Source organism: Homo sapiens, chromosome 3, assembly GCF_000001405.40.
Source record: "Homo sapiens chromosome 3, GRCh38.p14 Primary Assembly".
Lineage (NCBI taxonomy): Eukaryota > Metazoa > Chordata > Mammalia > Primates > Hominidae > Homo > Homo sapiens.
The window spans coordinates 128,301,663-128,324,692 of NC_000003.12; the positions used below are offsets into that span (position 1 = coordinate 128,301,663).

Here is a 23,030-nt window from a genome sequence, read left to right on the forward strand (position 1 = left end):
TCCCTAGTGGCAACTTTGTTTCTCTCCTGGAGCTGTGGAGTTACTCTTGACAGACTGGAGGGGAGAAGTCCTGAGGGGTGAGCCTGGGAATGGGGCAGGAGGAAAGAGACTGGTGTGCAGAAGGGACTTACACATGTCGCAACATTTAATGAGGAGGGGTAGAGCAGCAGTTCCTGGGAGAAAGAACTCCCATGGGGGGCAGGAAATGAGGCTCAGTGGAAGACCCCACTGGGAAGCTGGCAGGCAGACCAGTGTGGTCAGGCCATGCAGAAGGGACCTGGGGGGCTACTCAAAGTTACCTAATGGAGTGAAGATGAATTTTTCTCATTGAAGTGGAAAAACTGCTGATTTTTATCAGGGCAAGTTGGTTAGAGTGTTAGTTAAACCATCTGTCAAAGCTCATTTAGTTGTCAAAATTAAATCATTTTCCTCCACTTCCTAGTGGATTGGTTATAATGATAACTTTCTTGGCATGACATTTATCATCTTGGTCCAAAGGCAGTCGGGGGTATGGGGCTGGGAAGAGGGCAGGAATGTAATGCATAGAGTGATACGCCTGTTCCTTTTGTGGTAGAAAGATGCTATTTTAATACTGTTTAATTTTTATTATCACTTATAATATTAGTGTGCATTTTGCTGTAACTGCACCTGGTTTCAAAGCAGGACAAAACCCATGGCCATATTAATAAAGGAGGGTGAAGGGAAGAGCTGGGTTAGTGCCCCTTGTCTGGTGCTTCAGATGGTAGGAGAGGTTGATCCTGCAGGCCGACTGATTTAATGCCCTGATTTCCAGCTTAGGTTTCATATGCCAGTCATAAAGTGTAAGAAATAAATATCCTAAAACAATTATTTTTTTAAAAAAGTTTGGCTTATAAGCAAAATATCTAAAAACATTTCTAATTTTTATACAGAAGAGGAAAAAATAATCAGATAATCATTGATTTTGTTTTTTGTTTTTTTTTGGGGGAGGTAAGTTATATATATGGTTGGGAAATTCTAACAGCACGAAAGTTACAAAATGAAGAGTAGGAGCCTCTCCTCCTCTATCCCAAACCCATTCTTTATAACCATTATTAACAATTTTTCTGAATTTTCCCAGAAACAATTTTATGCATATACTCACGTATATAAGTGTATAAAGCTATTTTAAAAATTATACTCACAAGAAATGGTTGTTTTATTATTGTGATCTTACAAATATTTCTCAGCATGTATATTTACATCTGTCTCACTTCAGTGTTTCATAAATACCCTGTTATATGGCTGTACCATATTATTTAACCAGTATTTTAGTGCCATTGATGGACTGTTGCCTTTTAAAAAAAATTACAGTTGATGCTGCATAAACATCCCATTGTATGTAACTTGATGGACTTGTATGAGTATATCCATGGGTAAATCCTTAAAAATTGTGATTACTGCATCAAATGATATATTGCTTTGCATTTTTTTAAACATTATTATTATTATTACTATTATTATTTTGTAGAGACGGAGGTCTCACTTTTTTGTCCAGGCTAGTCTCAAACTCCTGGACAACAGGAGCAATCCTCCCGTCTACCAAAGTGTTGGGATTATAGGCATGACCCACTGCACCTGACCGCTTTGCATTTATAATGTTGATAAATATTGCCTAATTTCCCTCCAGAAAGGTGGTATCAAGTTACATTCCTACAACAGTATGTGAGATGGCCCACGTCCCCAGACTTCTTCCCAAATTAAGGATCATCAGTCATTTCAATTTTTACCTGACCTGATAGGTGAAACAAGGTAGTATTTCCTTGCTACTCCATTTGCATTTAATTTTTGAATGAGGTTATCTTTGCATATGTTTATTGTCCATTTGCATTTCATTGTCTATAAATTACCTGTTTATGGTCTTTGCCCATTTTTATACTAGGCTGTTTCTTTCTTATTAATTAATATAAATTCTGTGAGTGAGGAAATGAGCTCTGTGTCAGTTGTGTGGTAAATAACTACTGTACCTTCTCTCATTAAACTTTTGACTTGGTTTTTTTTATCCATTTAGAAGTTTTACATACTTACAGAGACTAATTTGTCATTCTTTTATGACCTCTGTGTTTTCTGTCCTGCTTAAACTGGCCTCCAAGATTATAAATTCACCCATACGTTCTTCTGAAATTGTTTTCATTCTTTCATTCTTTTGCATGTAGCCTACCTTTATTTTGACACAAGGAGAAAGCACAGTATCTAACTTTATTTTCCCATGTTAACTAGTAGCACCAGCACCACTTGTTGGTAATCCTTCTTTTACTCCCGATTTAAAATGCTACCTTTGTTAAGAATTTAAGTCCATCTCTGAGCTTTTTTTATTGTTGTCTTATTGATCTGTTCACATTTTTTCTTCCATGCCAGTGTTTCTTTTCTTTTTGATTCTTACAGTTTCATAATAGGTTTTTTTTTTTTTTCTGGAAAGGCTAGTCCCTGCCTCTCAACCCTCCCTATTTCTCCTTTTGTTTTTTCTGAGTGTCTGTAGCTACTGGTGCATTTTTCAGATGAACTTTAATATTACTTTTAATTGCCAAAAAATAATTTTTGGTATTATAATTTGAATTGAGTTGAATATAGATGTAATATAAAGAGAGTTTACATCATTATAATATCTAATTTTCCTGAGAGCATTGTCTTTCTTTCCACTTACTTAGAGTTTCTGAGTTTTTTTCAAATAGATCCTGTACATTTCTTAAGTTTATATTTAGGCATTTTGGTTGCTATTATTAATGTGATTTTTATTTTCGTTATAATTTAAAATTTTTCTTTGTTTAGAATAGCTGTTGATTTTAAAATATAATCCTGTAACCCGCCACCTTCCCAAAACAGACTTCGGTATTGTTTTTATTGTCTTTTCCGTTGATTCTCTTGAGTTTTCTAGGTATATAATTATATCATTGGCAAACAGTGACAATTTCCATTCTTCCTTTTAAATGTTTAGACCTTCAATTTTATTTGCTTATCTTATTACATTGCTTAGTAGTTCTAGAACAATGTTAAATGGCAGGCATCTTTTCGTTGTTTGTAATTTTTTTTTTTTTTCCCTCAAGACAGGGTCTCACTCTGTCACCCAGACTGGAATGCAATGGTGCGTTCAGGGCTCACTGAAGCCTTGACCTCCCAGGCTCAGATGATCCTCCCACCTCAGCTTCTCAAGTAGCTGGGGCCACAGGCGTGTACCACCACACCTGGCTAATTTTTGTATTTTTTGTAGAAACAAGGTTTCACCATGTTGCCCAAGCTGGTCTCGAACTCCTGAGCTCAAGTGACCCACCTGGCTTGACCTCCAAAAGTGCTGGAATTGCAGGCATGAGCCACCATGCCAGCCTGTTGTTTGTAATTTTAATGAGAATGTGGTGAGTGTTTTATCATTAAGTAAGGTGATGGCTTTTCGATCTCATTTATCTTTTCTCTCATCATAAGGAAATACTCATTTATTTTTATTTTTTTAAATCAAGGATTATTTTTAATTTTGGAAAAATCTTCATGGCGTATTTTGGAGTGATTTATGGTTTTTGTCTTTTGACCTTTTACTATGCTGTTATATTAATATGTTTTCTAGTATTGCATTCTGGAAGGTATCCTACTTAGTTGTATTCTGGTCTTTCAATAATATTTATATTATTCTTTCAGTAATATTTATGTCATAATTGAAATGTCTGGTTGGCAATTTTTGTCATGTCAAGTCTTGGTATTAGTATGCTAGCCTCACAAAAAGGATTTGGAAGGTTTTCTCCTTTATTCTTTTTAAACAGTTAAAATAGTTATCTATTCCTTAGAAGATTGAAGAAATTTGTCTCTCAAACCATCTGAATTTGATACTTTTTGGGGGTAGCACTTTAATAACTTAAACTGTTTTCCTTTGTATTATTAGTCTTTTGTTTCAGTCTCTGCCAGGGATAATTTTGACATAACATTTTCCTAGAAAATTATCTATTAAGTTATATCTTCAAATTCATTTGTATCTAGTTTTGCAAAGTAAACTTTCTTATATGTAGTAATTTTCTTTTTTAAAATTTCTAACTTTGTGTATTTGGGCTTTACTGGTTTTTAAGAACTTGCAATTGCATTTATCTATCAATTCTATTATTCCATATTTTCTAATAGAATAATTTGTGCTTTTATCTTTGCTATGTATTTCTTTCATTGGGTAATTTGTCTTTTTGCTAGTTTCTTGACTTAAAGACTAAATACATTGATCATATAATAGTTACCTAGGTGTTTAAGGTTGTGAATGTCCTTTGAGCTTGTGAATGTCCTTTGAGCACCGTTTTAGTTGCATTCCACTGTATGTTACTTTCTAGATATCCTGCAACTTCTCTTTTGCATCCTTCTTTAACTCGAGTTATTTAATGAGAAAATCGTCTCATTTCCAAGTTGTTTGGTTTTTTTCCCCTCTTTGTTTTGTCATGCATTTAAAGTTTTTATTGCACTGTGAAGGGAGAATATGGTCTGTGTCATGTCAGCTGTTTGGAGTTTATTGAGTTTTCCTTGTGGCCTAATATATGATTTTGTAAATGATCCAACGGCTTTTAAAAAGAAGAGTTATTCTGTTATAAGAATATAAAGTTTGAGATAAACCCCCCACCTTATAATATAGGTCTTAGTTCAAACTAATCACTTATTTTATAAATTGTTTGTTTTTGCATTGCCTACAATTTGTGCTTTACAAATTTTGTTGCTCTGCCTTTTGATATATAAATATTTACTATTCATATCCTCACTGTAAATTAAGCCCTTCATTAACCATTAGTGGCCCCTTTGACTCATTTAACCTCCTCTGCCTAGAATTCAGGCTTGTTAGATTTAAATTTGGCAATCCAGTTTTCTATTTGTTAACGTAATCTATCTTTTTTTTACTTTTCACCTTTCTGAGTCATTTTGTTTTAGATGTGATTCTTGTTTACAATATATAGTAGCTTTTTAAAATCAAAATCATTTTTAAAAGTTCTAAAAAAACTTTTTGAACCTCAGTTTCCCCATCTGTAAAATGGGTAGTTGAAAGTACCTATTGGATAAGATAAGATTTGTGCTACTCACTTTACATATATCTTCTCATTTAATTCACGTAAAGCTATCCTTTCAAGGTACTTCTTATATTTTTTGTCAGATGAGAAAACTGACTTAGGAAGGTGACTTTTCCAAGGTCACTCAATTGCTAATTGGTTGAGCTGTGATTCATCCCCAATCCAAGGCTTTCTAAATTCTAAAATCTTTCTACTTAGCCCATACGGCAGCATCGCACCATGGGTGAAACCCCAGGTCACCCTGCGTGAAATGGTTCCTAGCTTTTAAGACAAGTTGTAGCAAGCAGGGTAACCTGGTAACTAGGCTCACTTTTGGACTTAATTGGAACCAGACTGCAGGGGGCTCAAGGGTCAGGCTAGCAGTCTTCTCACCAGTACGTCCTACCTGCCCCACCTTCCCAGAATGAGAGCAGCTCTGCTGCTGGGTGTGGGGCCTGGCCACACATGGGGCCTTGCCTGCCCCTGCCCTCTCCAAGCTTTTCCCAAGGCTGGCAGGCACCCTCTGAGCACTGTTTCTAGCCTCAGCTCCATGTGACAGTCAGAGACAGCAGATGGAGCCAAAGACTTGGAGAAAAATGACACCCAGTTCAGAGTCCATGTTCCCTGGGGCCCAGACCCCAGTGTTGAATGTGGAGGAAAGGGCTTGGTTTATTGTTGGGGGTGGAGATTAGCAGGGGCTTTTCTTGTACCCTCTCCCTGTGGTGATTATGTCTAGGTATCAGTGAGGAAGAGGGACCCAGCGGGGCCCAGCTAGCATGAAAACTTCCTGGAAGTTAAGGCCTGGCTCCCACAGGGTGCCTGATGAGCCTTTATAAAATATCTAGAGGCATACCCTATGTCCACTTGGTCTCTATTCCTCCAGGCCTGTGGTTCCAGTAGGGGTTCAGCGAATATTGGCTGGATGAACTGGGCAAAGTATTGACTGAGCTGCTTTATTCGCAACAAGAACAGACAGGAAAGTGTATTTAGACTGACTCCTGCAGCATCTGGCACTGGGCATTAAGAGAAATAGTGCTCAGCCTGTGCACACATTGGGCAGGGTATCAGTCCAGCTGCAATACTTTCACCTGTGTGAGTGGGGCCATCACTAAGTCTCCTAGGGTCTTCTCTGTAAAGTGGAGATGATGCTGACTGTGGAGTTGGCCCTGACCTTGTGCCATTTTCAAGGATGATGAAGATGCTTTTGATTGTGCGCTCTCCCTGTAGGCCTCTCCTGGGCTTTGTGGCAGGCGAGAGCACATGCTTGTTGGAGCTCTGTGAGGCCCAGGCAGTGCCTGGTTCCCTGGGGTCACCTGGGCATAACAGTGCCCATCTTGTCAGTTGAACTGTGTGGCTAAGGGTGAAAGACTAAGTAGTTGGAACTCACGGCAACTTGCACACATGCTCTGCGCCCACAGTTAAGTATAGTTGGAAAAGTGGTGCTCTCAGCAGTGACCTCAGTCTCTGTCATTCAGACCCAGGAGTGGGTCTCAGAAGAGGCTGGAGGCCAAGCTTGGCCGTAGCTCTGCTCTTATTATATGATGCCCAGTGGCCCAGGTTCCTGACCACTCAGACTGGAAGAGCCAAGTCATCCTGGCAGGGGCCAAGGCTCTGACCTCAGTCCTTCTTGGTGCCAGCTTAGTGTGTGTGCCAGGCTGGATTGGATGTGTCAGGGGAGGGGGAATTGGGAGAAGACATAGCTTTCCTTGAGTACCTACTGTGTGCCACGTGCTGAGCTAGGCTCTCCAAGTACTAATTTCTGATCCTCTCAGGAATCTTCCAAAGCTGGGACTCTTATCCCCTCTTTGCAGCTGGAAAAACTGAAGCCAAATGCCATTTAATCGCACAGCTATTGAGTGAGAACCAGTAAGCCAGTCCCCCAAAACCTAAGCTTTACCCCTCATGCCAATAGCTTTTAAACATTTTTAGCTAAAGAACTTGAATATCAAATTTTATGAAGAATCCCCACAAATACAACCTATAGAAAGGGAGCCAGTCTGGCTGAAATGCAAATGGGTGACTTGGGCCCTTCTGTTCCTGCCCCTCCTCACACCTATGGCAGCCCCAGGACTCCCTGGGAACACAAGGCTCCTTGGAATCCAGTTTGGAAATGGGTCCTGTGCCCTAGAACCATGGATGGGAGAGCTCAAGACACCGCCCCTGCTGTCTGCAGGTGCATAGAGCCGGAGCTTTAGCTTCCCCGTCTGTGAAATGGAGCTGCTGATCCCTGTCTTGCAGCCTGCTAAAGAGAGTCCGTGAGGTGTGTTTGTTTTGTTTTGTGTTTTGTTCTTTTGAACTGAAAATTGAGGTGTTTCAACTATGGTTGAGAACCTACTGGCTGCCAGATAGTCAACTAGGTGTTTGTACGCATGATCTCATTCGGAAAGACTGCCTTCGCCCATGAGCAAGAGTGTGAAAGTGAAGGTTTATTTGTTCACGAGAGGGTGATGGAACAGCTTGTCACAAACTGTAAGTGTAGTCCTGGCACATGGCTTGGAGAGGACCTGAATTCCGGTGGGTGGCTGTGGAAGTGGAGAGGAAGAGCTGACAGAGACTCTGCCCTGAACAGCTGTCAGCACCTGGTGGAGACTGAGCAGGTGCAAAGAGGGCAGAGGGGAGGCGATAGCTGAGAGAGGGCCAGCTGGCGTTTGGAGTTAGAGGAAGAAATGGGAAAGGAGGAAGCCTAGAGCAGGAAAATCAAGGATAATGTCCTTTCTGGATGAGAGGGGTCAGCGCACAGAGGCTAGAGAGAAGAGAGAGGCCCCTGCTGCTGTCTGCTGAACGCTTACTGGGGCCATGTACATAACCAGTGTACCCAATGAGTAGGACCTAAGCCTTTATTTTCAGATGGGGAAACTGAGGTTCAAAGGAGAAACTTTTACCAGTAAGTAAAAGACCATCGGTTCTGGCCATAAGTCATGGTGACTTTAGCTGTGAAGATTCAAATTAGAGGATGCTGGCAGAGGGTGAAAGCAAGCTGAGAAAGGCTAATGCCTAGGGAGTGAGGCATAAGTCAGAATCACTTGGGAGTTTTGTGCCCAGCCAGAGAAACCCCTACTCCTTCAGGTGTGGAGCTTCTGGAAACTCTTCTCTACTCAAGAAGGGCAGAGGTGCTTTGCAGGAAGGGCCTGGACACACCGATTCTTGGCGCCCACTCTGGGGCCTCAGAGTTCCCCACTCTCCTGACCTAGCCTGGCTTGGCCTGCTGAGGTGCTGGATGCCACACTCTGTGATCTTATTCAAATGTCAGCTTTTCCTAGCATTAACATCCATTGACCCATTTAAAATAGACACACTTGGAGAAGGAAATCAAAAAGCAAAACAAAGGAGCAGTTGCTTTTCCAATCACATACACCTTGTGCAGCTTAATGAAGTCATAACAGAACCAAAGGCAGGTGCGGTATCTGTGCTTTTCAGGGAGAAAAGCAGGTGTCACCATTATCATCTGGATGCCCTTTGGCCACAGCATTTTTAGACCATCTGAGGCACTGCCAAGAATATTCCTGTGGCTTAGTGATGAGCCTTTTGGCAAGGTTAGGAAATTAGAACTCACCTTAGTTGTGTATTTAATTAAGGGTAGGGAGAAAGTCACAGGATTTCCTTTTTCTCTCCTTTCCCTCTGGAAGCAAGGGGCCACATACAACCATCTCCGCATCTTTCAGCTTTGACTGCTCCTGCCCCGTAATCTTGACTCCTGGAGGTTGTGGCTTTTACTCACTCTCTTAGTTTGGCTTCTTGAGAGTTTCTAAAATTGTACAAGGTCATAGCCAAGAGATTGCCTCTTAGCAACCTCGTGCCAGTGGCCTTGCGCCTATCCCCTGGTCTCCCACACTTACAGGAGGCCCACAGAGAGAGTCATGCTGCTGTTTTCTTTGTAGGCACACAACAGAACAGTGTTTTCCAACCTTTTCCTCATAATCACTGTACAGATAGACTGTATCATGACCCAATGCACATGCAGGTGGAGAAAGTGAAAGGCTTTACAAAATAGTATCCTTACCTCCTGACTTCCATTGCATTGCATTCTACTCCAATTTTTTATTTTCCTTTTCACTTGAAAACCACTGGTCTTAATGCACTGCATTGCCACCTCAGTTTGGAAACCTGCAGTAGTGCTCAGGCTCTGGAGGTCAGGCCCCTGTGCTCTGCTGCCCCACCCTGCCCACCTGGCAAGCAGGTCTGGAGGCCTCTGTCCCTCAGCTGGTCTCAGCAGTACTGGCTGCAGGTGACTATTACAGTGGCAGTGGCTGGGGAGGCCTTCTATTGATGCAACATTCTGTGTGGGGAAAGGCCCACTTGATAAAACTGTTTGGTTTTACTTAAAAGGAGTGTAGGTGAGGAAACAAACTACACAACAATGTGAATGAACTGGAAAAGTAAGAAAAGATAATGCAGGTGATATCCTTCTAAGAAAATTTTTAAAATTAAAATTCAGATTTAGACCAATGTGTTTTAGAAAAGGACTAACCATGAGATTCCCTCTAATTGCATGGTCTCCTCATTCATTGAAAATGTAGTTATTTTTACAGAAATCTGACCTTTCTGCAATTTTCAACTGTGGACCCATGTGAAGTGTAACTAATTCTCCTTTCACAGCATTCACCTTCCTCTTCGGTAATGCTGAGCCCCATTCTGGGTCTGCCATTTTACTACAGAGGAGAGAATTTGAAAGGTGGTCAGAAGAAGCATGGACATGTTAAATGTTTGGAAACCAGATTCCTGTAGGGAAGGAGGGAAGGATTTTAGCTCCACAGTTGTGTTCTGAGTGCCAGCTAATGGGGCTAGCCCTCTACGTCCCACTAAAAGCCTGCATGGTCCCGTGACCTTCAGGGCACAGCTCCAAACTTGAAGTGTGTGGCTGGCAGCCTGTCTTCCTCTGCAGCCATGCATGGGGAGCTTCAGGCCCACGGAGCTAGTTTGGTTCCCTGTCCAGCAGCTGCCTTGTCCTTTCAGGCTTCGGTAGCACTCTTTCTTTTGTGACCTGGGGCCAAGGACTTCACCTTTCTGTGCCTCCATCTCTTTTCAGAGTGTTTCTGAGCATACATTGATTATTCATGTGCTTGGAGTGGGCACTCAGGAGTGTTCCTTGTTGTTTTGCAAGGGACGCCCTTTCCAGCCCTGACCATTTGAAACACTCTTAGAAATATTTCAAAATCCAGCTCTTACGTCCCACCTCTTCCTGGGAGCTGCATCTGTCCTGAGGATGGAGTTGAGCTCTGCTCCTTATCATAGCCCAGTCACCCCTCTTCCCGCTTGACTCTGTGCTGCTTAAGAGAAGGCTCCCAACCTCTCTATGTTGGAATCCCCAGCACCTAGTACCGTGCCTGGCCCACAGTCAGTGCTCATCAATGCTGATTTGTCCCTGAATTCACATGAGGGATAAGAAAAGCTTCATCCCATTTCCACCTCTGATGGATTGGCTGTACCGTCAAGAGTTCCATGTTGAGAAGATTCTGAGACAGAACTTGAGAAAGGGAAAGACCCCACTATGTGGCAGATACAAAGCCAAGCATTTTACATGCCTTTTCTTCTGATTTAACCCTAGACAACCCTGTGAAGTAGGGACTGTTATCATCTCTCTCTGAGATGAGAGAACCAGAGCTCCTGAGTTACACAGAAGTGGGCAGTGCTGGGTCTCAGACAGGCAGGGTCCCCGCTGCTGCCCCAAGCACCTGGACCTAGGCCAGCTCTCTCTCCTGGAGTTTTGGTCCTGTCCAACTGCTGGCTACTTCCATGCGCAGAGGATGGAGTAGCGGGATCCCACCGCCTTTGTGTCACCAGACTGCGCTGGAATAGGGGAGCCTTTGTTTGGTGTGGGCACCCACCGGGGTTCAGAATACCAGTGTTTAGAAGAGGCTCCGCCTTCACCCTCCAAGGAAGGACAGAGGCGTCCATGGTTGTTGAAAAGCGGAATGTTCCCGCTAATGAGAAACAGTTGAGAGATGGGTGGGCCACCATCCTTGTGGCAGGCCCTGTGTCCTGACCTGCTTGTCAAGGTACAGATGACAGGCAGGGCTACAGCAGGTGTGGCTTCCTCTAGCTGGATTGGCAAAGGGACCTGGGCCAGGCTGTGGGGAGGAGGGAGAAGGCCCTCTGCAATTTTTCTTTTCTCTTCCCTTTTCTTTTCCTTAACCATTTAGCTGTATCTTTTAGTAAAAGAATACCCAGAAGACAGTTTTTCTGCATTACCATATATAGAAAATTCTAAACTTCTAGAAAGAGATAGTTCCCTGGGAAGATGGTCTGGTTTGAGGGTGAGCATTAACTTTGGACTCATACAGCCCTTGGTTAAAGTCTAGGGTTACCATTTCTTGGCGGTGTGAACTTGGTCAAGTCAAGTAGCCTCCGTAGGTCTCAGCCCCCTTGTCTGTAAGTTATTTCCATGCCATAGCATTGTGATGAGGATGACCATGGGAAGCACCTGGGATGTTGTAGAATCTGGGTAGAAACTGGTTTTTCCTATTCCTGCCAGCTCTTGGAAAAGGCTACATCCTGGCTCTCCCAGCCAGTTGATAGTGTGCCTCTCCCTGAAAGAGAAATTGATGTCTCCTGCCAACATCCAATTGGGGGAGTCCAGGAAAAGGGCAGTTGTCTGGGTAACCATTTGTGAAAGCCAAGGACAGGGCAAAATGGAGATGCAAGGAAGGGTTTATCCTCCTGGCAACAGGGTTGCACTCATGTTTCTGGTCGATGCAGCTTTGTGCTTCTTGCCTTTCCATGCCATGTGGGAGCCACGGGTGGCATGTTGCATTCAGTTAGTGACCAGGCTGCATCTTCAGAGCCCAGGCATCCCTGTCACCATCTAAGCTAGTTGGTCAGCCAGCCAGGTCTGGCAGGTAGGCCTCCCACTCCCAGAGTCTATGGATGCCACACCCAGGACTCAGGCATGAGGAGGTCCACTTTGGGAACCTGACTTCACCGCTGCCTGGTAACGGGGCTTTGGCAAGTCAGGCTCTTGGCATCTCCATTTTTAACAGGGCACTTGTAACCAGGACATCCTCATGAGCACAGCAGAGAACTGTTCCCGGGCTCTCATGAGATGTGTGAGAAGGCCCCTCATGTGGACATATATGAATGTAGCACATTTTTGTTAGTTTACTTTGAAAAGGTAATACTGGCAGATGGTTAAAAAGGCAAAAGATGCCAAGGTTATGCAGTGATTAGAGTTAAGTCTCCCTGACAACCCCCTGTCTTGGGTCCCTGGTCTCTCCCTCCTAGGCAGCCACTGCTGCTGCCATTCTGGTGATAACCTCTGCATGTGGAAGCTTATGTATCTCCCCCTGTTTCTTACACCAGGCCCTACCCAGTGTGCTACCCCTTGCTTTTATCTCCTCCACTCTAGATGCAAGATGGTTCTACATCTGTACATGTGGATGTCTGTTTAGCCTCTGCCTAGGAATCTACCGTAAGGACATGCTGCTCTCTCTCTCCCTCTCATTGAGGCATAGAGTAGTTGTTTGGAGAGCACGTTAACCAACTGTTGGTAAGAACAGCTGTGTGTATCCTGTCTGCTTTGAGGTTTCAGTGGCTCAATGTCCTTGAGAGCAGTTTTTAGGGAGTTATCCAGAAAATGTTTAGCAAATAAGGAACTCTTTCTTTTTTCTCTCTGGTGCAGGATTTCTGAAGCTCAACATTGTTGACATTTTATTTTATTATTTTATTTATATTTATTTTATTTTTTGAGACAGAGTCTTACTCCATCACCCAGGCTGGAGTGCCATGGTGGAATCTCTGCTCACTGCAACCTCCGCCTCCCAGGTTCAAGCTATTCTTGTGCCTAAGCCTCCTGATTAGTTGGGATTACAGGTGTGCACCACCACACCTGGCTCATTTTTGTCGTTTTTGTAGAGATAGGGTTTTGCCATGTTGGCCAGGCTGGTCTTGAACTCCTGGCCTCAAGTGATCCTTCCACCTGTGCCTCCCAAAGTGTTGGTATTACAGGCATCAGCCATTGCTCCCAGCCTGTTGACATTTTTCTACCTGATAATTTTTTGCTATGAAGGCTGTCCTGGGCATTGTAGGATGTTTAGAAACATCCCTGTCTGTACCCAGTAGATATCTATAACACCCCCACCCACCATGTGACGACCAAAAATGTATCCAGGTCCAGACATTGCCAACTTTCCCAGAGGTGGGGGAGTCACCCCAGGTTGAGAACCACTGCTCCAGTGGGATTTGGAAGAGCTGAGCAGTGCTGTGCACAAATGTGTAGCTCTGGAGTTTAGTCCTGGGGCAGACCTGTAGCTGAGAAGGCAGGGATGGGGGTCGCCTGGAGCCATCAACATCCACACCACCTGCTCTTCAGGGCTGCTTCCTAATGTGCCTTTGGGAAGCCAATGTCTCTCCCTAACACACACACAGGAGCCCACACTTACATCAAAGAGGCAATAGAGTGTGGTGTATTATGGCTGGGTTGTGAAGCCAGACTTATCAATGCTACCACTTCCTTGCTATGTGACTTGGGATAAGATATTTATGTCTGCTGGAACTTAATTTTCTCAGCAGTAAAGTGGGGGATAATAAGAGTACCTGCCTCATTGGTAGTGGAGATTAATGGGTTAATGCATGTAAAGCACTTAGGCCCAGGGTGAGGTATGTGATATGTGCTCCATGCATGTCAGATATCACTATTATTATCAGCAGAAAAATAAAATGACTGCTGAGCCCTCTCTGTGAGCCAGGATCTTTGAATTGATGACCACAGTTGAGTTTGCTTGTAATCATGGGCAGTAGGACCCTCCATGCCTTTATACTCAGGAAATGGAGGCTGAGAGAGAGTAAGGCCCTTGCTCAAGGCCACACGGCCAATAAGATGTATTGAGCAGAGCCTGTGCCCGAGGGCCATGCTGAGGCTGCTATGGCCTCTGCCAGAAGCCAGGGCCTGAGCTCCTGGGGAGGCCCAGGAGGGAGGGAGGGAGTCTACCATTGGTACCTTGTGTTGTAGCCAATTAGTTATTTGTCAGAAGCCATCCTTGGGCTTGAAGTCCCTGCACACTGTCAGTGGTATGGAGTGTAAAGCTCCATTTCTTGAAAACTGCATACTCGTCAGGGCCAGTGGTGTCACCTTGGCAGGGTTTATAAGGAAAGAAATTGGCCATAATTCTAGTGATAACTTTTATATGAATTTCCTTTATTTCACCTTCCTATGCTATATGTTATACATTTGTATAGTGGAGATCACTATGTTTAATTGTTACTAAATATAATGTCACTATTTCTGATGCATTCTGGTACCACTGTTTCATATGTCCTCATATCTTTGAAAGTTCTTAGCTTGTTGCCATTTTATTGGTTGCATAATATTAAATGTTTTCTTAATTATTATGCAAGTAGTACGTGAAATATATTTTTATTGTGATATTTTATGCATTGCCAGAAAAGACCAAGTCCTTTTGATCACCCTTCTAATTCTAGTCTGTGGCGCAGAGGTATTGCTGCTTGTTTGTGGATTTATTTTTCAAAGAGCGTGGTATTTATTCAGTTATAATAGAAATACATGCTTGTTGTGAATAATTAATTCACTATCAGGTAAAGTTAAAGTTTCCTAAAATTCTACTTCCCAGAGAAAGCCAGTGTTAAGAGCATGCTCTGTGTTCTTTCACCCTTTTTTAATGCACACAAATGCACCACACCCTAATATACACACTTAGGAATAAAAAGCACAACAGGCTTCTGTCATAGGCATTGTTTGTTATGTCAGTGTTTTCACTTAGCATGTAGCAGAACCATCTCATACCGATGCCTACCGCTCTCCCCCTCTCTTCACTCACTGCATCCTGGTCCACAGAAGAGCGCTCCTGCACTCTTGCCCCATCCCCTTATGATCGACAGGCACGTGGTTTCCAGTGTTTTTGGCTATGGGAAAGTGTGCTGCACAGCATCTCAGCATGTGTGAAGTGGTTTAGGGCTGTTTCTGAATTTCCGGAGGACTGTCACGTGGGCTGAAGATCTGGCGACCAAGGGCACGTGGGGGATGAGGAGTGAGCCCTGAGCCTGCCTGGAGCTCAGCACAGAGGACCTGGGGCGGTGAGCCAGCAGCGTGGGGTTACCGCCCAGCTCGGTGCCGCCAGCACCGTGAACCGGGGCACAGCCCTCCCTCTATGCTGCTCAGTGCCATCATTTTCCCCTCCCATGACATACGACAGCAGGGAGTTGAGTGGTTTGTTTCATCTCTTCTTAAGAAAAAGTTAAATTTATAATCCCAGCCCCGACCTTCCTTGTAACTCATGTGCTCATCCTGTTAACTGGTTTAATATATGGCACCACTATTTCATTAAACAACATACAGGAATAATTAGTTCAGCCACGATGCCTCAGAACAAAAGCCCTTGATTTAGTTTAACTTTATAAGTTGCTCTCTTTTGATGTGCAAGAGCACATCTGGGGTCTTAAAGAAAGCAGAAAGAAAAATAGAAGACGTTCTGGCAGGCTGGGGGTTAGAGTTTTCCAAGCAGAGCCAGTAACCCTTTGGTACCAGGCCTCAATAGGGCAGCAAGGGCCCCGCAGAAGCAGTGCGTGCTGCTGGCTGGGGGACGACAGCCAGCATTCCCAGGAGGTCTGTGGCTGTCTGCTGCCAGGCCAGGAGAACCCGTGGGTTTTCTTCCTTCATACACACGGTGTGCTCACATGCAGTGCGTCCCCAGACTTGTAAGCCTGGCCTGTTCTCCGCCCCGCTGCTGGAGCTCAGACGCTCACTCTGGCCTTTCCTACCCTCAGCGTGTGCTTGGTGCTGCTGCATGCCAGGCACACTGTGAGAACTGTGGACATGCTCAGGGATCAGCACAAGGGCCCCTCTGGGGCTGGCGTCCTCTTCCTGTCATTACAGTTTGCTCCGATTTGCTCTGTGCCCAGAGTCTTTTTCCCCATCAGTCCTCTTTCCACCCGGGCTACCACTGGAGTCGTTCTGACCTTTGTACTTCATCACTCCTCACCCCTGTGTGGCATCTCACGGTATTCATCTGCCGGCAGAGGAGAGTTCCAGCTCCTTGGCCTGACCCTCGGGCTTTGCACTGCCTGGCTCCTGCCTCAGCTGCAGCCATTTGTGCTCACGTACCATTCTCTCGCCGGCTGCTGACCAGTTGGGCCCTCTGCAGGCCTCAGGGCCTTTGCCCCCTTCAGCCTTCTGCTCCAGCTGCTCCGTCCATCCACAGGCCTGGCACAGATGTCCCCTCCTCTCTGAGGTTTCCTCCCAGTTCCCTGCCAGGTGGTAACCATGGTTCCTTTCTCAGGGCTCCCCCACCCTCCTTGCCACACTGGGGCAGCCCTTGCCATGTGGGCCATGGGAACTGGTTGTTAGGTGACTGTGCACTCCAGGCAGAGGCAGGATGGAGTTGTGCCTGGTCCCCTGTTTCTCTAGACATGGCATAGTACAGGGCATACAACAGGCTCTGTGGACAGGAGCCCATCTGGCACAGTGGGGAGAGCCAGGCCGTCAGCCTGCCCTGGCCCAGCACTTGCTGGTGGTGAGACTGCATGAAGCTTGCATGGCGCCCTCCCGTGATGGACTGCTGTGAGGCAAGGGGGGTTAGAAAGGGTTCAGCCAATGCCCGGAACATAGTTGTTGCTCGACTAGTGGCAAGTGCTGTCCTTTGCAAAGTTTTGCTGGGACAACTTTCTCATAGACTGTGTTCCAGCTGGTTTTTTAACTGAGGTGGACTGAGTGACTGTTTTCCATCTCTGGCTTTTGGTTTCCAGAGAGCCAGGTTGTGCAGTGGGGACAGATGTCCTGGTCTGCCAGCTGCCAGCAGGCAGCAGCCATTAGCTCCCTGTCCCACCCGTTCCTGCTCCAGCACATGATGCTCTTCTCCCTGCACCCTTCACCCAGGACAGCAGAAGGTACAGGACCCTTGGTTCTCTCTCCTAATTAATGGCAGAGACCCAGTTAGAAATGGCGGGCCCCTCCCTAACCTCTCCACAGCCATTTGTAAGTCCAGCGAGACTGCGGACTGCTGTCCCTGGTGGCCCTGGTTGCAAGCAGCTCCCTTTGTAACAAAGTCAGTGTCACCTATTTGCCAGCATGGCTGCCCATGGCAAGCCATTCTGGTCTTGCCTGGAGTGTCACAGACAGTATCCCACTCCTCTTCCTGAGTGGCCGTGTACTAACAGGTAACAGATGGCAGATGTGTAGACGAGCAGCGGTTGATGCCTGGCTTCGCCACCGAGGGAGCACTTGGGCCAGGCACCTGCGTGTACAGCAGCTCCTTATCCTCACATCACCTGCAGGAGTAAGGCGGTTTTTACCCCATTGTACCATGAAGACTCAGAGGCCCAGAGAGGAGAAATGACTTGCCGGTGTTCAAGTCCTGGACAGGGTCTGAATCTAGGTTCAGACAGGGTGCAACACATGAAGTTTCTGCCCTTTTGGCTCCTCGGGAATTCTTCTCAACCATCAGAAAGAGAAAGCCTGGGGATTTTCACACCTGTCCCACCTGGAACATGTTTCATGTTAAGTGCCATTCCTTTCCCCACTGTGTTTTTCTGAGGTCCTGACCCCCCTCCAACCCCTTGTCCCATTTTCTGTGGCTCCTGACCCTCAAGGCAGAAGTAGCAGGCCAGCGGGCGGGAGCCAGCTTACCCTGCCTGCTGCCTCACCAGGGGACAGCAGGCTTCAGAGGCTCTCCTGTAATCTCTCTATCCACACAGCCCTCATTTTAATTTGCAAAATTGAAGCCAGATCGAGAGCAGTAAAGCCAGAGGATGGTAAATATTCATGCCTCAGTGAGCGAGGGTGGCTCCATTACCGTTCTGAGATTGAGAGAATTACCTGGGGGATTATGTATATTCATGGGCCGATTTTTATTTGCGATATAACATGACTCACGTTGGCCTGTGTGTTACAGGTTCTACCCTCAACAGACTTTGCACAAAGCGTATGCCCTTAAGCTTCTGAAAGTCATCTCAAGTGGATTGCCCATCGCCTTCTGCCTCCTAGGAGACAGGTCAGAATAATAAGCACACCAGTGACCAACCAGGGGTTTCCATGCACTCCTCTCTCTGCCTTACAAGCTGTGGGCACTATTCTTACGTCCAGGTCACAGAGGAGGAGACGATCTGAATGCCACACCATGTTCTGTTTATGTGGCTGTCCCTGCACTGTGCTGCCATCCTCTCGACTGCAGGGATGGTGTCTCATTCTGTCCTGTGTGCCCAGAACATAATAGGTGCTCAGGAAATGGCTGCCAAGGGAGTAGCCCCTCTTGCAGGCCTGCTCTGCAGACACGCTCAGTTCTGCCGCTGGCCCCTGGCGTGTGTACAGCACCTGCTGCTGGCAGCACAGGTTTGGCCCTGCTGATTGGCTGGGTGTCTGGCTTCAATAGGGGCAGGTCAGTGTTCCTGTTCATAGGACACTGTTTACAGTGTCCTGCCTCGGTGCACAGCAGGAGTCAGCGCACTGCAGCCTGCCACCTGTTTTGATAAATAAAGCACTGCAATGGCAGAGTCAAGTAGTTGCAACAGAGGTTGTGTGGCCTCCAAAGCCTAAACTGCTTACTGTCACCTTCTCCAGGAGAGCTTGTTGCCCCCTGGCTTGTAGGCTTCAAGGGCACTGGGGCAGAGCGCCACTCCTCTGAGTCTTTTCTTGATGCCAGTGCAGCACACAGCTTATCTCTTTTACTTTCATTGTCACCATAATCCAAATGAAGTTGGGATGCTCATCTCCATTTTATTGATGATAAAATAGTAGCAGTAGTAGTTTTAATCGCTAATTTATATTGAACAACTTCTAATTTTTAAAGATACCATGCTAATCATTTCACGTGGATTATCTCAATGTAACCTCACAAATGCCCAATTAGTTAGGTACATTTTCCATTTAAGGGAACTTAGAGAGGTGACATCCCTGGCCTGGGGTCACGTAGCTAATATGAAGGATTTGAACCCAAGAAGTCTGACTTGAAAACCTGCCTTCCTAACCACTGTGTTATGAGGAGAAAAGGTTGCTTGCCATCAATTGCTCATTTACTGAACTGTTGTTAGCACTGGCAGCGTACCAGGCCCCCTTCTGGGTGTGGCAGATGCAAAGATGAATTAGAGTGACCATTCTCTCGAGGAGGTCCCTGTAGGACAAACAAGCAAGGCGGTAGCCACTCCACCAGTGTATAAGTGTTAGAACTGGCTTGGCCCTATGAGGAAGATAGGAGGTTTGCAGACTCCTGGACGGGAGCTTCCTGGGCTCATGCCCCACTCCGTCACTGCTGGACTAGTGGCCTCTGGCTAGTCACCCAAACTCTGGGCCCCAGTTTGGTCACCTGTACAATGCAGGACATAACGGGACCTACCTCTTAGGCTTGCTGTGAGGATTGAGTAGGTTAATCCATGTGAGCTTATAGAACACTGCCCAGTGCTGATGACCTGAGTGGAGGTGGCGACAAAGGCAGGGATGGCACAAATATGTGTGGGAGGCCCTGGGGGTGCCAGGCAGCCTTGGAAGGCTGCTGAGAGGCAGTGGAGCTTCAGAGAGACTGGGAGAGGCAGGGTCAGGCAGGCCAAGGTGGGAGACAGGTGGGAAGCTCTGGGGGAGAGTGCTGTGCTCCCGGGATGGGCTGGGGCAAGGAGCTGAGCCAGGGCCCTGTCAGAGCTGGCTTGGAACTGGCTTTCTGCTTGTGTGTTTTCAGATTTATAATTGCTCTCATGTGCCAGGCTTACATTTTCTGAGAGGGAAGAAGAGCTGCCCCAGCTGCTGCCAAGTTCTGCCTCCATGAGCTGGCCCTCAGGGGGCAGCCACAGTGGGTGGAGAGGGGGAAGGACCCAGGCAAGGATTTTATGACCTGTCCCTCTCCCTTCCTGTTCAGGCCTCTGTCCCAGGCTTCACTCCCCCAGGACAGTCTCTGGGCAGACCACATGGGGTGCATCCTGCTAGCTAGGACACTGTCCTGACAGGCTGGAGGGGCCCCTGCTGCCTGCCCAGGCCACGGCACTCCTAGCCTTTCACTATGGGCGCCCGCCTGTCCCTGCACTGGCTTTCCCCTGCCTACTGTGCCCCTCATCCACCTTCCACCCAGGAAGGGCCTTCCCAGGAGCATGTATTCCATTCAGTAAGATAAGGTGCCAGCACTGGGCTGCCTGCTGGGTCTGCACTGGTGGCCCATCCTTGCCCCGATGGAATGTCCAGTGCCATGTGGAAGACAGACTTTAAACAACAGTGGGCCCTGTCACCACAAGTGGTGAGGCTGACCTGAGGAGCAGCCTCTGTGAGAAGACAGCAGGGGTTTAGAGGAGACTGGGGAGCCTCCCGAGGCAGTGAGCTGGGAGCTGAAGATGTCCAGATTGGCAGTGAGGGGAGAAGCAGTGAGTGAGGGCCAGCGTGGGGGAGCAGCAGTGCTCGTTCACACAGCAGCACCGCTCCTCTCTGTCCCCTCACTGAGTTTCCATCCTGGTACTCTAGGGCTACTTTGCCTTTCCCCAGGCTGGTACCCCTCTATAGCAGGAGCAGTTTCCCCATGAATTGAGAATCCCCAGTGCCCAGCTTGGGGCACATGTGTCAAGGAAGGAGCTTGCATTTGTCTCTCCTGGGGCTGTTGCCATGACGGCCCGTCCAGGTTCAAATCCCAGCTCTGCCACCTGCTGGCTGGGTGATGGCAGGCAAGTGACTGAAGCCAGCATGCCTGCGCCTACTTGCCCTGCAGCTTGTGGAGGGACCGTGTCCCTACCTGGGAGCCCCTCAGTGTGGTGCCCACATGGGGCAAGTGCTCAGTCAATGTTAGTTGCTGTCATTACTGCTGCCGACATCATCATCACGGTCATCACAATTGTCACCAACTCCCTCCAGGGAAAGTGTTGCTCCCAAAGGAAGCAAGGCTGACAGCCTGGTGGGGTTTCGAGGCTTTACTCTTGGGCCTTGAGAACCTAAAGACACTAAAGGCCACTCATCAGCTTCCTGTGGCATCCGTGGCCTGAATGGGCCCACCTTAGCCCAAAGTCCCATCCGTTAATGCATTGCCAGAACATGTGAGATTGTGAGCCGTTCAGACATGAGAGTAGCGGCTGAGCTGATGGGGCAGAGACTCAGAGTGGCCCTTAATGGTTGGTCACCTTCCCTGGGCCCTTTAAGGCTTTGGATCCAGAGCAGGAGGTGCCACAGGGGCAGTGAGAGCTGTGGGAGAGCTGGGGTCTGCAGCCCGAAGCACAGGGGTGGTTTGGACCTTGCTGCCACCCCGTCCCCACCTTTGCCCCTGCTGGTCCTCTGGTCTTTCTTTGCTTGACTGACATCCAGCTGTCACTTTGTTAGGAAGTACCCTCTGACTCTGCAGATTGGTGGGGGCTGCTTTTCTACCCCACCCCGGGGCAGAGTATTTCCTGGCATTTTCCCATTCAGAGTATTTGCTTAACATGTTTAAAGTATTTCCATTAACCTTAGCTACAACTGATAAAGTTTTAAGATATTTAATATTGACACCCCAACCTCAGGGTAATGACTTCTGAATGCATGACAGCTTTTGGGAAGAGCTGTCACATAAGTGGTGTATACTGGTTTCTGCACTTAGGGGTAGTTCACATACTTAGTTAGCTAAATCTCTCCAGATAACCAGGAAAACACTTGTCAGCCCTGAGCTTTGCTTGTACCTTTGGAGGGATCTCTTGCATATGGGAAATGGGAACTGCTGGCAGAAGCCGAGCCTCCTTTTGAGTCCATCTGGTTACCCAAGTTCTTGGAGCCGTTTTCTCCAGGCGGATTCCCTGAGGGTCAGACACAGTGGAACGAAGGGATCCTCCTTGGGCTGTGGTGGAGCCCATGCCATTCTGTCGGCTCTGGCCCGGAACTGACCTTTGTTATTTGAAGTGCTGGAAACAGCATACCTCACTTCACAGGTGCAGTGCTTCCCTGCCCTCCCAGCCCTAGTCTTTTAATTTCACTCTGTCAATCCTAACACGAATTACTCTTACCTGAGTGTTAGGTGCTGTGCTTGGCCTTGACTTCTCGCCATAGCCCCACGGGTGTTATTATCCCCTTTTTACTAACAAGGGAACTGGGGTAAAGAGCCCAAAGTTGGCCAGCCAGGAGGCAGTAGAACCAGCCAGCATGATTCGTTCCAGAGCTGGAGCACTTCCTCCCCTGAAGGAGCCAGCCCCCAGGGCAGATCATGGAGAGTAAACATGACCCTGGAAAATCACTTGGGCGGCTGCCATGTTGAATGCCAGCCCATCCTCTCAGTAGGGTCAGCCTGTGTTGGAGCAGCCTGGTGTTCCTTCAGCAGAGTGAGGATGCAGGATCAGAAGGTACAGGTGTATCTCTGAGTCTGAGCGCCTCCCCCCCTGTGGCAGGGGCTCCCTCAGCTGAGGCTTGCTGCAGAAACCAGACCGTTGAAGGGGCGGTGGGCTCCCCACTGGCCTCCATCTGCTCTGGGGAAGGAGGCACGTGTAGCCATGGACACGGACCTCTCACGGCCTGGGTCCCTCAGCTGAATTCATCCTCACCTTGCATACTCTTTGGTCTGGGGCTGGGAGTGGGGTGAATGCTATCATGTGCCCCAGGGCTGAATGCCGAAGGGCCAGCAGTTGAGTTTTCTACAGTGTCAGTTTTCCCAAGGGCAGTTAATTCCAAACCTCACTTTTATGTTAAAACAAACATGAATCTATTATGACATAGAATGCAAAGTTTCCATGAATCTTAAAGTCCAAAACTTGGTATTTCAAAGAATTTCTGTGCTTCTAGCAGTCAGCTTCAGGGATTTATTCTCCTCTGCCATGGAGTGGGGGGCTTCTCTGTGGGAAAGAGAAACACATCATGCTGTCTTTCAGGACTTCCTGGCCCTCCATGTGTTGGGGTGTCAGCACACTGTTTGCACTTGAGGATTCCAGGTCCCATGGAAAATACAGATTTCAGGTGGTTCAATGAATGCCTTACTCCATGGAGTTACTAAGCGCTTTCCCTGAGAGATCCCAGGGAGGAGAGAGAGAGATCCAGGAGGGGAAAGTTGCTCTTTTATTTTCTGATAGCCAACTTCCAACCCATTCCATCCTGCACGACAGAAGAGTGCACTTTCTACCAGCTGCTCTGCCCGCCTGTGGGGCACA

General features: G+C 46.9%; 1 protein-coding gene across 10 annotated transcripts in view, besides 1 other annotated feature; it reads left to right on the forward strand.

Moving 5' to 3' along the window:
- The window catches only part of EEFSEC (eukaryotic elongation factor, selenocysteine-tRNA specific), a 272,743-nt gene that overhangs the window by 148,182 nt on the left and 101,531 nt on the right, over positions 1 to 23,030 (forward strand). The window lies entirely within an intron of this gene.
- Positions 14,563 to 15,115: an enhancer, noted in NCBI's record as "H3K4me1 hESC enhancer chr3:128035068-128035620 (GRCh37/hg19 assembly coordinates)". NCBI's record gives its function as "activates a minimal SCP1, AML or CMV promoter by ChIP-STARR-seq in primed H9 embryonic stem cells {active_cell/tissue: H9 hESC(primed)}" and the evidence as "EXISTENCE:reporter gene assay evidence [ECO:0000049][PMID:30033119]".